Source organism: Homo sapiens, chromosome 1 (assembly GCF_000001405.40).
Source record: "Homo sapiens chromosome 1, GRCh38.p14 Primary Assembly".
Taxonomy (NCBI): Eukaryota; Metazoa; Chordata; class Mammalia; order Primates; family Hominidae; genus Homo; species Homo sapiens.
Window position 1 is genome coordinate 79,457,031 of NC_000001.11, and position 17,213 is coordinate 79,474,243.

The window sequence follows — 17,213 nt, forward strand, 5'->3', positions numbered from 1 at the left end:
AAGGACTAAGTACTATTTTTACAATGGCACCTGATATATATTAGATATTCAAACAAGTTTCAAAACATCAATGCCCAAGTGCTTGGGAGCCCACCCCTTGCATCAGTGTGCCCTAGATGTGGGACATGGAGTCAAAGGAGATTATTTTGGAGCTTTAAGATTTAATTACTGCCATACTAGGCTTTGAACTTGTATGGGGCTTGTTGCCCCTTTCTTTGGGCTGATTTCTCCCCCTTTGAATGTGGTATTTACTCAATGCCTATACTCCCATTGTGTCTTGGAAGTAACTAACTTGCTTTTAATTTTACAGGCTCATAGGTGGAAGGAACTTGCCTTGTCTCAGATGACACTTTGGACTTTGGACTTCTGAATTAATGCTGGAATGAGTTAAGACTTTGTGGGGGCCTATTGGGAAAGGATGATTGCATTTTGCAATGTGAGAAAAACATGAGATTTGGGGGGCCAGGGGTAGGATGATATGGTTTGGATCTGTCTCCCCACTCAAATCTCATTTTCAATTGTCATCCCCAGTTTTGGAGTGAGGCCTGGTGGAAGGTGATTGCATCATGGGGATGGATCCCTCATGAATGGTTTAGCACCATCCTCTCGGTGCTGTCTCATGATAATGAGTTCTCATGAGATCTGGTTGTTTAAGAGTGTATGGCACCTCCATCCCCCACCCCTCCCATCTTGGTCCTGCTCCTGCCATTTAAGATGCTGGCTCTCGCTTCTCCTTCTGCTATGAGTAAAAGCTCGTGAGGCCTTCCCAGTAGCAGATGCTGTCATGCTTCCTATACAGCCTGCTGAACCGTGAGCCAACTAAACTTATTTTCTTTATAAATTTACCAGTCTCAGGTATTTCTTTATAGCAGCATGAGAATAAACTAATACAATAAATAAATGCAATAATTATATAGTCATGGAAATCTTTGAAAAGGGAGAAATGTTTGGATTGTTTCTCAGAAAATTAGTAGAATTTCACCAAAAGAGGAAGTGGAAAAAGACGTTTCAGGAAGAAGAAATGGCAAATAAAAAAGGCCTGAGGATATGAAAGAACATGGCTTTGTGGGGATAATTAAGGCATTTAGAATGCCTGAGGAATTGCAATAAATACCTCATATTTCTTTTAACCAAGTCCTTATTTGTTATAGACTGTTTCTGTCCCCCCAAAATTTATAGTTTAAATTCTAATCACCATTGTGATGGTATTAGGAGGTGGAACTTTTGGGAAGTAATTAGGTCATGAGCGTTGGAGGCCTCATGAAATGAACTAGTGCCCCTACAAAAAAGACCCCAGAGAGGTGTGTCTGTGTTTCCCCTATGGAAGGATAACTGTTCTTGGAATTCAAACCTTCAGAACCATGACAAATTGTTGTTGCTTATAACCAACCCAGTCTATGATACTTTGTTATAACGACCTGAACTAAGATACATTTTTTTCTCTTAAAATCTCTTTCTTATTTGTTGTTATATTGCCTGTCTTTTTAAAATTATCTTTATTTTAAATTGGCACATAATAGTTGTACACATGTATAGGGTAAAGAGTGATATCTTGATACATATAGATAATGTGTAAGGATCAAATCAGGCTAATTAGCATATTCATCACCTCATTTTTTTTTTTGTATTAGAAACATTTAAAATCCTCTCTTCTAGTGATTTTAAAAATATACAATGAATTAGTGTTAAGTACAGTCACCCTACAGTGCTACAGAACAGGGGTCCCCAACCCTCGGGCTGTGGACCAGTACTGCTTCATGGCTTGTGAGGAATCGGGCCATACAGCAGGTGATGAGTGACAGATGAGCGAGCATTATTGTCTGTGAGATCGGCAGTGACATTAGATTCTCACAGGAGAACAAACCCTATTGTAAACTGCACGTGCAAGGGGATCGAGGTTGTGTGCTCCTTATAAGAATCTAATGCCTAACAGTTTCATCCCAAAACCATCTCCCCAACCCCTACCCACCCTGCCGTAGAAAAATTGTCTTCCACAAAACCAGTCCCTGGTACCAAAAACGTTGGGGATGCTATTATAGAACACTAGAAGCTATTACTCTTATCTAGCTGCAATTTTGTAGCTGTTAACCAACTCTTCCCTATTGTTTCCTGCCCCCTACCCTTCCTACCCTCTAATACCTACAATTCTTCTCTGTTTGGTAAGCAGGAGATCCCCAGCAGTCCTCATTCCCTCCACGGACACCTGCAATTCTACCTAAATGAGATGCCATTGCTAATTTCACTGCTCAAGCGTATGGACTCATTATTGTCTACTCTAACTGACAAATGCACATTTTAAAATGTTTCGCAGCCTCTAGTCTGTTTCTGCTCCAATCTACATAACTTGATGTTGCCAGATAGATAATCTGAACACAAAACTCTGATCAGGCACTTCCCTACCCTCAACTGAAAAATCTTCGATGATTCCCCATTGCTAACTGAAAACATTTCCAACTCCCTTAATTGAATAAAAGCTCTTTAAAAGCTCTCGCCGAGCTGTTTTTCCAGACTTACCTCCCACTCTTCTTTTTCTTGTACTCTATACTATAGCCAGAATGGAGTATTTGCATATCCTTGTGCATTTCTAGCTACATTATTTCCAAACTTGGTGATTCTACTATACTTTTCCCTGTGTACAATGCCCTTTCCACTATCTCCACAATCAACACAACTTCCAAGTTTCATATGCCACATCAAGATGTGCCTGAACTTTCCAGGCAGAAATATCTCGCTTTTCACTTAACTCTCCTAAATGGGCAAGTGGTTATTTCTAACTTACATTGTAATTTCAGAAAACCATTCTTAGGTTTTCTACTTTATGTGAGTCCCCTATCCTATTGCCTGTAACTTCTTATTACTCACAATGCACTTTTTTCTCTTCTCATAATTACTTAATTAATATTTCATAATAAAAAGTAAATTATATAGGGATGTAAATATACGTGAATACCACTATTGCTAAGTCTAAAAAAAAGTAGTAACACCATACATAAATGTAAAAGTAGTAACACCATACATACAGACTTTGGTCAAAGATGCTGTGGGAGAGAAGGAATTAAAAGGAGGAGAAAGAAGAATTGGAACCTTTGTCCTCAAGCTCTTGCTATGTGCTATTACCACAATCACGGCTTTATCTACTGTTTTCAGAAAAACTCAGTCAGGTATGAAAAATAAGACTCCAAGTGGCTACAGAACATAAAACAGGTGACTGCCATAGCCAAGAATTAGACCAATTGCCACTTACCTTCAAAACTAGTTTTCTTGCCCAAAATACTGAAAAACTGACTGAGATTCCCTAGACAGTGGGGATTAACATATCTGAGGACCAGTTATTTCAATATAATATTGTTAATAAAGCACAATCTTGACAAGCTGAGTCTCCAAAATTTCAGTACTCGGTGACTTCCATTTTAGTTAACAGACTTATTTTACATTTAAACTACAATAAAATGAAAGCAGTGTTCAGGATTCAATGCAACATCCATTGACTATTGTACAAAACTTTTTTAACCTAAAAAATACAGTTGTATCTGAAAACAACAGCAATGGTCCAGCAATTATATATTTTTTCAATAATAGATTTTATGTTTAGAGTAGACATTAGGTGTCCTGCACCCATCTAAGAAATACCTGAGTATTATTCAACAAACATCTGTTATGCTTACAGCTTGAGAAATGACAGTTGATATTGAAAATATGTCAACTCTCTTAACATCATCAAGAGCAGAATTCTTAACCAGTGGATGTTATCAATAACATGGAATGCTTCTTCTTTGAGAATGAAAGTTATATGGTCAGCTTTGGCTGTTTCACTGTTGATGAAACTCTGGGCAGCCAATGTGTCACTGAGGGGATGACAGTACTCTTAAGAAGGAAGTTACCAAAAGTGAACTGATTCCCCTTGTGACAAATACAGTGATGGAGCAGATGAGGTAAACTTACAACTTTTATGGTTTCTCTGTTTCTATTTCAGGTGCTTAAGTGTCCGAGAAGCTGAAGCCCATGCTTGCCCTTGAATCTCTTCTGTGTTTTTCTCTGTTCCTCAGTGGTCTCTAAAATAAAACTAATCTCAGTGCTGGTTTTAGAAAACCTGATATTGAGGTTCAGCAGGGACTGCTAGATGGTTTCCTGTTCAACATTTTCAATAAGGAATACATACATAGGGTAAAAGTTAAAAACAAAAATCAAAATTTTTCCAGTACATTAAGCTATGCTATGACAGGTGAAAGTTTCTCTCTACCTCCAAAACCTCAGTCCCTTTTGCCTTAGACTGTTTCTCGTTAACTGTATTGAGGATTTGATGTTTTAGTGTTGTTCTACCTGCAGTTATCAACAATGTGCTTTATTAACATGTTTTAACTGTTAGTCATTCTAAGATGTGCTAAAAATTATAGCCCACGAGCAACAGTATCAAGAGGATTCCTTTTTTTTTTTTTTTTGAGACAGAGTCTCGCTCTGTCACCAGGCTGGATGGCAGTGGCGCCATCTCAGCTTACTGAAACCTCCAACTCTCAAGGGGTTTCTTGTTTATGTTTTACTCAATGGTATTTTAAAATTTAGTTTTGTGAATTATTTCGTTCAATCCTTGTAAAACACCAAGAGATAATTATCTCAATTTTTAACTATGAGGAGGTTGAAATTAAGACACCGAAAATAACTTGCATAGAGTCACACCAGTAAGATATGAGTTAGAGAAGCCAGGACTCAAATCTGTCTGACTCCACTGAATGATGTTCTAAAGCATTGCTCTATATGGTATTGCCTTTATGTAGCCTTGAAAATTTAAATTATAGTGATTCTTGGATTTCCACCAGAAACCCAGCTTCAAATTCATCAACTGAGCTGTTTGCCTACACATGTTCATACAAATGTGCTTTCAGTCCAGCCCCCATTCCTAAGGCTGCCAGATTTAGCAAATAAAAAGTCAGGCCGGGCGCGGTGGCTCACGCCTGTAATCCCAGCACTTTGGAGGCCGAGGTGGGCGGATCACAAGGTCAGAAGTTTGAGACCAGCCTGACCAACATGGTGAAACCCTGTCTCTACTAAAAATACAAAAATTAGCCAGGTGTGGTGGCACGTGCGTGTAATCCCAGCTACTCAGGAAGCTGAGGCAGGAGAATTGCTTGAACCCAGGAGGCAGAGGTTGCAGTGAGCCTAGACTCCAGCCTGGGTGACAGAACGAGACTCCATCTCAAAAAAAAAAAAAAAAAAAAAAGTCAGGATGGTTGGTTAAATTTTAATTGCAAATAGACAACAAAAACTTTTCTAGTCTAAGTGTACCCCAACCAAAATAGCGAGAGTGGACATTCACTGGGCAAGTACCATGCAATCTTTGGTAGATAGCTATACTAAAAAGTATTCATTGTTCATGTGAAATTAGAATATAACTGGATGTCTTATGTTTTGCCTAATAATCCTACCCATTCCACTTCTTTTGGGTTTCAGTGCTTTGATATTTAACATACAATCCAAGAATTGCCATTCCCATGAAAGTAACTGTAACCCTCATACCTTATACTTTCTTCACTTTCTGTTTTCCTCAGTACATTGTTTTCTATTCTGAAAAATACAAAAACAAAAAACTGGCATTGGAAGACTTGTGTTCTGTTACAATTTGAAAAATTGTGCAGGGTCAGAGGGATGCCGTTTAGTAAAGGATGTCTGGCCATAATTGATGTCTTCATAGCAGTTGTGATCTTATGCTCCAATCTGTCTAAGTCCAGCTCTTGACTCCATTTTGGGTTCATACAACTGCTCACAAAACATCTAAAAAATAAAAATATAGAATGTGAATATATTAATTTATGATGAGAACTACCTGACTACTTGCTCTCTCTAGAAGGCCCATTCTCTCTGTGTCTACTCAGTCTCACTAAGAGACACATTTTTTTCTTGGTAAAAACATGTGGAAAATAAAGGATTTTGATGACTTTTTTTAAGTTCTATTTTTAAATCTTCTGTTTCTAATCTGCAAAATGGGTTTAATAAGTACTAACCTGATAGGGTGGATGCAAGGACTAGAGATAATATATAGATGAATATTGAATTTTATTAATTTATGTATTCATATTTGGTAAAGAAAACAAAAACGATAATTCAGAAAATTGATTGTTGAACACAGAATCAGAGTGTCAGGAATTAAATGTCATTTTGCTACAATCAGTAATTATAACTCTCTTAAATAAAGGATTATATTTGTTTGATAAATGTAATATTCTTCTTTCGGAATTAGAGTTTCTTTTTACATATTAAGTACTTGAAAGAGCTTTGCCAATGTTAGTGTGACTTCTCTTACCTACTTCTATTTTCTGTGTTTCTATTGTTTACAAACACCTCTTTGGATTTCAAAAAGTAAACATTTTTAAAAGGCATAATTATATTAAATCACCTTTAGATCTACTGATTATACTAACAAAATGGAAGTAGACTAGAAGTTATTCTTTCTCTTTAAGTTGATTTTTCATATATTTTCATTGATTTATTGACTATTGGTTTCATGACAGTATTAGCCTGTTTTCATACTGCTATAAAGAACTGCCTGAGACTGGGTAATTTATAAAGAAAAGAGCTTTAATTGACTCAGTTCCATATGGCTAGGGAGACCTCAGGAAACTTACAATCATGGCAGAAGGGTAAGTAGGCATGTCTTACATGGTGGCAGGCGAGATCGAGTGTGTGAAGGAGGAACTCAAGCACTTATGAAACCATCAGATCTTGTGAGAACTCACTTACTATTATGAGAAGAGCATGAGGGAAACCACCCCCATGATCCAATCAGCTACCTCCCTCAACATGTGGAGATTAGAGGTCCCTCCCTCCCTCGAAACATGAGGATTACAATTCAAGATGAGATTTGGGTGGGGACACAGAGCCAAAGTGTATCAATCTGCCCCTGACCCCTCCCAAATCACGTCTTTTTCACATTTCAAAGCCAATCATGCCTTCCCAACAGTCCCCCAAAGTCTTAATTCATTCCGGCATTAACCCAAAATTTCAAGTCCAAAGTCACATCTGAGACAAGGCAAGAAGTCACCTTCTGACTATGAGCTGTAAAATCAAAAACAAGTTAGTTACTTCCAAGATACAATAGGGGTACAGGCATTGGGTAAATACACCCATCCAAATGGAAAAAATAGTCAAAACAAAGAGGCTACAGTCCCCTTGTAAGTCCAAAACCCAGTGAGGCAGTCCTTAAAGCTTAAAGCTCCAAAATTATGCCCTTTGACTCCATGTCTCACATACAGGACATGCTGATGCAAAGGGTAGGCTCCCATGGCCTTGGGCACCTCCCCTACTGGCTGGCATTGAGCACCTGTGGCTTTTCCAGGCACATGGTGCAAGCTATTGGTGGATCTACCATTCTGGGATCTGGAGGACAGTGGCCTTCTTCTCTCTGCTCCACTAAACAGTGTCCCAGTAGGGACTCTGTGTGAGGGCTTCAAACTCCACATTTACCTTCTGCACTGCCTTAGCAGAGGGTCTTCATGAGGGATCAACCCCTGCAGCAAACTTCTACCTGGACATCCCAACGTTTCCATACAACCTCTAAAATCTAGGCAGAGATTCCCAAACCTCATTTCTTGACTTCTGTACACCCACAGGCCCATCACCACATGGAAGCTGCCAAGGCTTGGCGCTTGCACCCTCTGAAGTAACATCTGAAGCAACAGCCTGAGCTGTACCTTGGCCCCTTTTAGTCTCAGCTGGAGCTGGAGAGACTGGGATACACACAGAGCACCCAGTCCCGAGGCTTCATGCAACAGTGGGGGCCCTGGGCCAGGCTTAGAAAACATTTTTTTTTTCTCCCAAGGCCTCCAGGCCTGTGATGGAAGGGGCTGCCACCAAAATATCTGACATGCCCTGGAGACATTTTCCCCATTGTCTTGGCTATTAACATTTGGCTCCTTGTTACTCATGCTTGAATTTCCCCCCAGAAAAATTGGTTTTTCTTTCCTATTGCATTATCATGGTGCAAATTTTCCACACTTTTGTGCTCTGCTTCCCTTTTAAACATAAGTTCTAATTTCAGACCATCTCTCTCAAGTTCAAAGTTCCACAGATCTCTAGGGCAGGGGCAAAATGCTGCCAGTCTCTTTGTTAAAGCAAGGAAAAGTCACATTTGCTCCAATTCCAAAGAGGTTCCTCATCTCCATCTGAGACTACTTTAGCCTGGACTTCATTGTCCACACCACTGTTAGCATTTTGGGTTTGGACACAGAGCCAAACCATATCATTGACCATCCTTAGAATTATATATTTCTACAGTCCTCAAGGAAAGATTATTGTCACTCTCATATACTACCTACAGTTTCCTGTCCTGAATCTGCTGCTTATTTTTTGTGCAGCTTTTGACAAAGCACTTAGCCTCTCACTACCTCAGGTCATTCATGTGTAAAATGGGAATAGTAAGAATTCATAGGGCTCTCATGATGATCTATTCACAGGTAAGAATAAATTTAAACATAAAACATTTCCATAAAACTATCCTAGCTTGGAACTACTTAAGGCATGTATTTATATTTGAGATGGAAATAATATTTCTTAGTTCTCTAGGTTATTTTATCATTCTTCATTTTCTCCAGTGTCAGATGTTGTATCAGTGCCCTCATTACCTGTATCAATTTCCTATGGTTGCTTTAACAAACCATCACCAATATAACAGCTTAAACAACACAAACTTATTATTGTACAGTTCTGGAGGTCAGAAGTCCAAAATGGGTCTCATTGGACTAAAATTAAGATCTCAGCAGGGCCTTTTCCAGTGTCTTGACGCCACCTCCATTCCTTGGTTTGCAGTTTCTTTCTATCTTCAAAAGGGAAGATAGAAGTATTGAATATTCTCAGATCATTCTTCTGTAGTCACCACTGTATCTTCCTCTTCTCTTCTGCCTTTCTGTTCCATTTGTAAGAATCCTTGTGATTACATTGAGCCTACCCAGATTATTCACCTCAATCTCTCTAAAGACAGCTAACTAGCAACTTTAAATCCATTTGTAACCTTGATTTTCCTTTGTGATATAATCTAACATATTTAGAGAACTAGAATATGAACATCATTGGGGAGACCTCAAATAATGATTCTGCCTACCAAAACATTCCTTGAAGTTAACTTTGTAGAGTGACACCTCAGTATCTTCTACATAGTGGATTTATATACCAGGTATATTGTATCTCATATCCTTGAAGCCCAAGATATCAATGAATATATCTAAAAATTAGGAGTTCTGTTCAAATCAGCAACAATTTATGAAAGAGCCATAATTCATTAGACAAATATTTATTGAGTATCTATCCATTATCAAGTTTCTTGCATTGAGTATTGAGGGCACAGAAATGAATGAATAAATTTAAAGTTTGGCTTTCATGGAACTTAAATTACGTTGGAAAAAGGTAGAAAACAAAGAGAAAACTAAAATAAATGATACTTTCTGACAACAATAATAATGCTTTCTGATAATGATACTTTCTGATAATAAATAATTCTTTCTGAATAAAATAAAATGTGGACTATATAGTGATCGCTTGGGAGTACAATTTTAGCACTTTCTCTGAAAAAGGAGAATTTAGGGTGAAACCTGAAGAGATATAATCCTGCTGAGATTGAAGAAAAGCATTTTAGGTAAGTTAGACAGTGAGAATAGAGTAAGATTGTTTTGTAATAGAGGCAGAAAGAAGGCTGAAGTATCAGAAGCAGAAAAAAGTAAAGGAAGAGTGATGAGAAATGATATGGGAGAGTTAAACAGAGGAGAAAATAAAGGGTCTGCTTTGTAGGTCATGATAAGTAAGATGAATTTTAATCTCATTATAATATAAATTTTCTGAAGCAGCAAAACAAATTCATGTTGTAAAAGGAATACTGGCTCTTTTGTGAAGAAAAGATTATAGGAAAATAATGGAATGCTCTTTTGCAGGCTAGCTAGGGGTCATAATGGCTTGGGTTAGGGTGACAATGGTCAGATTTGACATGTATCATGGTGGCAGAACCAAGATGACTTTGAAGGAATTGACTGTAGGACAAGAAGAAATCAGAATCTTAAAGAGGTGGGTGGATGTGGGCACCATTTACCCACATGTGGAGGCAGGTGTGAGAAGGGTGTGTGAAGCACAGGGAGGGTTAGGGACAGAGAGGGGTCCTCACCCATTATAGGGTCATGACCAACACTCCTGTAACAAAAGACAGGTTAACAAAGGGAAAACATAAAAAATTTATTTAATTACAGTTTTATGTGACATGGGAATCCTCAGGAATAAAGACCCAAAGATCCAGGTCACATGCAGAATAGACAACTGTGGAAAAATGCAATTGGACAAAAGGGTATAGTCTAGTGGAAATTGACAGGGAAACCTAGCACGGTCTGTCTGTTCAGATTCTTCTTGGCTTTTCTGTGTAGTAGTCCTTCCCCCTGGTATAGGGCAGGACCCTTCTGAAATTAGAGAGTTTGAAAAAGAAGGAAGAAGAAAGAGAGTGGCCTTTTGGGGTTTTATGGCTTGCTTTGGGGGAGAAGAGTTTTAATTTCTATGACCCCTTTGGAGAAGACAAATTCTAGTATCTATGACTTGGTTTGAGGAAGTAAGAGGTGTGGGAGACAGGAGAACAGGGGAAGACTTTGCTTCTGAGACTTTGCTTCTGAGGCCCTTCCAATATCCTTCAGTTCAAAATACTCAGCATGCCAAGGTGCCATCCTTTGGGGTATCGTGTTCTGAGCCCCGACAGTGTCATGTGATAGACACTAAGCCAGGACTTGACTCCTCAAATATATGGGCTCAGCCCTAAGAAATGTAATAATTTGACACCATGGAAAATCCCAAGTCTGTAAAATATCACAAGGGGTGGGCGATTAAAAATTATCTGCCTCAACTATTTCTTTTGCAGAAATGCATGGAGATTGGGGCTTGCTCATAACAGCATTACTTAGGAATGGAAAAGCTGAGACTAGAAATCAAGCCACCCTGGCTCCCAAACTCAGTTTGGCAATGTCCCCAAACATTTTCTCTATAGCTGACACTTAGAAGTGCCCTGTCTATAGCCCTCTGACCTTGACTTCTAATTGCCAGCATCTGTCTTCTAGGCCTGCAGGCTTCCTCTACATTAACACAGTCCACCTTCACCCTAGGCAATATTCAACCAATGATTATACGATATGTACTAACCCAGCTCCTCTGTCCTCCTGTGCAGTAACACTAAGGCACTGCTTTACACTGTTGCCCAGTTTCTCTGTGAGATTAAGCTCCAGTAGCCATGTAGGTTTAATAAACTGCCACTTAGTAGCTACCTTTCTTTTCTGTAACACTTCTTTTCTCCCCACCCATGTTCTCAGTACCTCCCAAGTAAAGTACCCACCTTACAACCCTTACCTCAAGAGTTGCCTCTAGGGAAATCAAATTAGCACACAGCTTGTAGCTTAGTGTCTGCTTCTGCATAACTTTGTAGCTCCATTCACTGTTTTAAACTTGGTGCCTGCACCATTTTGGAAAGTTGAAAGGTAAAGAATGCTCCCAGCACTTTGGGAGGCGGAGACGGGCGGATCACGAGGTCGGGAGATCAAGACCATCCTGGCTAACATGGTGAAACTCTGTCTCTACTAAAAACATACAAAAAATTAGCCGGGCATGGTGGCGAGCGCCTGTAGTCCCAGCTACTCCAGAGGCTGAGGCAGGAGAATGGCGTGAACCTGGGAGGCGGAGCTTGCAGTGAGCCGAGATGGCGCCACTGCACTCCAGCCTGGCAACATGAGCGACACTCCGTCTCAAAAAAAAAAAAAAAAAAAAAAAAGAGTGCTGTAAGAATGTTAAGAATGGACTTTAATGACTACCCTCGTAAAATAGCATATTGTGGCTTTTACTTATTTTGCCTATATTCTCACTTCTTCTTCTCAAAAGACATCAAGAAATAAAAAAGACAAATCTTCTTGCATTATTAGTAAGTGTTTCACTTTCCAAAGCCCGGGCAGTGAGTAAGCTAGTATAAAGCTTTGTAAGGTGCTACTTCCAAAAGGGAGAAATTGTAATTTTTCAGCAAATTCAGAAACATCTCAGTTATGTAAAATGCCAGGTCTGCCTATGGACTTTCTTGCATCATCTCTGTTTTATTTTCTTTTGAGCATAGATTTGATATTTTCTTTTCATTAACTATAAAATTTTTCAGTGATGAACTATTTCTTAAATGTTTAAAAATCTTGGTTTTTTCTATGTCTCAAATTTAATGGAATAAAACTATTATCTTTGGGTTGTGGATGCCAATTCTTTATCTCTCATCACTGACACATGCCATAATTCAGTCTCTGTGTCCTGTTGTTGTTCATAAACCAACAAGCTTTGGTGGTTTATGTCATCAGCAGAAAACCTGAAAGTGAATTATAGCCTTGCATTCAATCTCTATGTTCTGTGCAGAAATAGCCAGTTTTTCAGAATGTGCAATTTAGAGACTTGGGAGCAAGAGACTTATAAAGTGTATTTCTTGTAGCCTGTGCCAAAGTCAAAGCTATGAGCATTCAAAATAAAAGATTGATATAAAATCGGTTCAAAATACACCTACAGTTTTATGGGCAACATAATGTTTTTATTAATATTCTGGAAACTTTAGAGAGGATTACATTCTACTTCCTTTTAAACTAGAGAATTTATAAAAGGAAAAAAAAACAAATTTGGATTTTATCAAAATTGAGTTGGGAGGGTGATAACTAGGACATATTGACTCGTGGGCAGTAGACTTTTCACTGTATGTGCTAGTATTTATCCACGTAAAATAGTTGAATAAACATCTATACAAATGTCTATACAGAGAGCTAACCTGAGACCAGACACACAATGTCCTCCTTTAAAAGGTGCTAAAAACCTATATATTTTAAAGTTGATTTAGATAATTTAAGAAAGTAAACTATTGCTATTTATATTAATCACACCTATAATAACTAATATTTTTCACTGCACAAACAGCATATCCCAACACAAAAAGGATTATCCTCCCAAATAGGTTGAGATACAAAGTGCAATTGTATTGGGAAGTGATCAACAACCTATTGGAAAAAACCTCTTAGCTTGAAGCATGGTTTTTGCACCAGACTTTTAACTTTTACTTGGAAAGAGTACTTTGAGGGAAACGTGTAACACTTTTAAATACATGCCCTTATTGAAACTAAAAATGTGCATGAGAATTCATATTTTGAAAACTACACAATTACCTCTTGACCCTCTTTGAGTGTTAAATATTCCCTTAATATGTGCCATATACCGTTTTAGGTTCTGTAAATGTGGAAATAACAGCAGTAAACAAAACAGACACCTCTGTTCTCAATAATCTAATGGAGCAAAATGGAACAACATCTTATGGAACAGTATGAGAGGAAAAGAGTGATCAAAGATGGGGTCAGAAAAATAGCAGAAAACAGATGTAATACAATTTGTAGGCCTTTTAAAAGAGTTAAGATTTGACGGTAGGTGAAGCAGGAAGTCAATAAAGTTGGATCAGAAGTGATCTGAAGATTGCCTCCTCTTTTGTTAAAAGTAGACTGTTTAAGGGAGATGGAATATAAAAGCCAGGAAGTGGATTGGAAAGTCATTGGAAATTGTTCAGTCAAAATATCATAAGGATTTGTACCATGGTGATATAGGTGAAGTAGTGATTAGTTTCTGTATAGATTTTGGAGTAGCATCAAACAAATGTACTGATCCTTTGAATGTAAGATATGACACAGAGGAGTCAAACATGATTCCATGGTATAGAATTTACTTGTTCAATTCTCATTTGTTGGAATAAATAAGTGAAAGTAGATACTAGTCTGAGTGACAAAGATAATGGCTTTGAGAATATGACACATAAAGTGCCCAAGTTGGGGAGGGTGTCACATTAAACAATTTATATCTTTTGTCAGTAAGAAAGATTTAGAAAAATTATTAGCAATCCCAAACTCGTGATCTCATGAACCTTTCTCCTCAGCCAGTAGCACTAAAGGTTAAGAAGTTCTGGTGACTAAACTCACATTTGGGTAGTCCTTGTTACAGTTGTAAAGATTCAATAATTATGTGTAGGGATGTTTTAAAGGAGAGTCACAGAGAAGTAAGAGTTTTATAGCCTTTATTTATAGAATTCAATGGTGCCTGTGGCTTTATTTTTCAACCTCAAAGACCTGAGAGCTTCAGATACCTATTTCCTTTACCAAGGGCCTTGGGTCTGAAGGGAAAACCTCCATAGCTTAGTGTAGTTCCACTTTGGATTCAGTGGATCTTACCATCTATCACAATGTTGGAGGCACATCAAGGGTGCTCATTAAATTTCGGTTAAATTGAAATAAATGTCTTGCTCTTTTAAGAATTTTGACATCAGAAAAATATATTACATTTTAGTGAAAAATGTCCTTGAACAAGCCGTTTTATTGAAATTTTTCTTCATCTAGTGCCTTTTTTTTTGGTCTGACATTCTTCACCACACACAGTTTCCTCACTGATTTTGAACAAAAGAATCATTTTCTAATCCATTATTATAATAGTCTAGTTATAGTATTTCCAAATTGAGAGGGTGATTTTTTTGGAGAAAGCACAGATTGTTGGAGTCTTGGTTTTACCACAGTGAGAACTTGGGCAAGTAGGTGAACCTGAATTAGCATCTGTTTTTCCACAGATACAAAATAAGTAGGGAGACTGATATTTCTCAGGATTCTGGTACTGCAGCACAATCACAAAAGTACCTAACACATAGGAGGCAAATAATACATGAGAATTGTCTTTTTCAAGTATTACATTTAAATTTTGTAGCTTTATAATAATAATTGAATACTATTAATTTTAGAGGATCCTATAGCAACACATAAAAGGTCAAGATGAAGGGGCAAGGAAGAGATCAGCTCCTTGCTGCCCTCATCATTTTTTGAGTTGTCCCAAGTAGGAGTGTTGCTTCATAAAAGAAGCTCTGATATCAAACTATGGAACATTCCCCTGTATATGGAATACCTAAAAATCATTATTTCTTTTCGGGAGATAAAGGGCTCTAAGTTCAAATGGGCTATTGATTTTGTTTAAAGGAGGGAAAACAATCTGCTCCAGGGAAACCTTACTTGACCAATTCTATATATAAACTACCATTATAAATCTATTTTTAGTTGTATCATTCGAAACTGTACATCAAAAAAATTAGAAAAATTGGAATGAGAGAAAAAAAAGATTTGACAGGATGTACAGATGAGCAGCATATGCCTTTAGCACTAAGGCAAGTGTCCTTGCATATTCCAGCATAGTCTGCTCAGGTTAGTAGTCCAAGCATCATTGAAATACAGCCCTGACAGGTATTGCAAAGTCCTCATCACACTGAGCCAAGCAAGGACAGAGCTCAAAAAAAATTTTTTAGATAACCAATATGCAACTCCATTAAAATTGTATTTTATTTACCTAAACAAGATTTTCTGACACTTCTGAAAAACTAGAAGTGAAGCTCACGTTGACGAAAAGAAGAACTGAGAGTATGTGGCTGTTAGAAAATCTGTAGCAAGGTTATCAAAGTTCAAGGTATGCTCTTAGTACCTTAAATCTTACCAATGTGTCTAAGAGTAAGTTTTGCATGTGCAAAAATGCAAAGCTAAAAGTAGGTAATTACAATACCCCGTAAATATTAGGAAATTATATTTTCTGATATCATCATATGAATGAACACGAGATTGAATTTTGGAATCCCACAAAAGGAAATGCTGTAGCACTGCTCTTTAAAATTCTATAGGGCACACATGCACACAATTAGAAAGCAACTTATTTTTATTGACAACAATACATTATAAAAATTTATATGCACCAACTAGCAAAGCATATAGGGTGAATCTGTAATATAACTCTACAAATAAGAAATACATTTTAAATTATTAAAAACGACTAATAATCACTCTTCTTCTTCTGAGTTTCTCAATTAGCTTAAGCAACTGAAATAATTGTTCAAATTATGCATCCATGAAACTGCAAGAGCCCAAATAAAAAGCCATGGTTTTGCCCTGGGCTCAAGCTCTTTTGGAATGCTCTGCAAATACAATTTCCAGAGACTTACATACAACAAAATGGGAGAAAACTCTAACTCACTTATAATAAGGAAAAGTCAGGGTCAGTAGTATTCAAAAACTAAGAACATATTATTGTCTGGAATTAAGTTTTCACCTTTTATATATTTCCTTTTTAAAATTATTAAAAAAAAATTTTCGGGTGTTTTCTTGCCTTCATAATTCAGCTCAAATATCACTCTATGAAATTTCTCCCTAATCTCTGAGGCAGAAAAAGTCACAGACGTATCAGTTCTTATATGTCAGATTCTTTAACGTACTTACTTTGGTATATTTAACAACGTATCTTACTCACTACACCCTGAGCCCTCCAAAAGCAAGGGATATGCATTCTTCAGCTTTGTCCCTGTGTAGAGTACCCAAAGTAGTTCCTAGTGCAGAACAGATGCCAAAGAAATGATTGTTGAACAATTAGGTGTATAAATAAATGTGTAACCATAAAAGCATTTTAACTCAAAGAACCTTTACTATTTTAGCTACCAATAACTTAACTGTTTAAGTACATTAGATAATAAATCACGGCCAGGTGCGGTGGCTCACGCCTGTAATCCCAGCACTTTGGGAGGCTGAGACGGGAGGATCACGAGGTCAGGAGATGGAGACCATCCTGGCTAACACGGTGAAACCCCGTCTCTAATAAAAATACAAAAAATGAGCCGGGCGTGGTGGCAGGCACCTCCTCGGGAGACTGAGGTGGGAGAATGGCGTGAACCTAGGAGGTGGAGCTTGCAGTGAGCCGAGACCACACCACTGCACTCCAGCCTGGGTGACAGAGCGAGATTCCGTCTCGAAAAAATAAATAAATAAATAGATAGATAGATAGATAGATAGATAGATAGATAGATAGATAGATAATAAATCACAAAGGGGTGACTTTCATTTATATAAACTAGGGCGGAGAGAGATGAAGGTAAATACTTAAAAGTCACCTGGAAAACAAAGTCACTGCTATGTGCTTTTTGAGGTAAATCTAACTATAGGAAAATTATAACCTAACTGGAATATAAACTATCGACTTCATCCTTTGCTAGTTATGTGTGAATATTCTTAAACTGAAAACTTTTATTTATTTTGGACACCAATAAAACTGTATAATAGTAAAAAATAAAAATAACAGTCTCTCCAAAAGTGAAGACACACAGACACACACACACACACACACCGGCGCATGCACACAAT

The 17,213-nt window shown here is 37.7% G+C and overlaps 1 annotated feature.

Moving 5' to 3' along the window:
- Nucleotides 4,469-4,518: an enhancer, noted in NCBI's record as "active region_1239". NCBI's record gives its function as "activates an Ori minimal core promoter by ATAC-STARR-seq in GM12878 lymphoblastoid cells {active_cell/tissue: GM12878}" and the evidence as "EXISTENCE:reporter gene assay evidence [ECO:0000049][PMID:35858748]".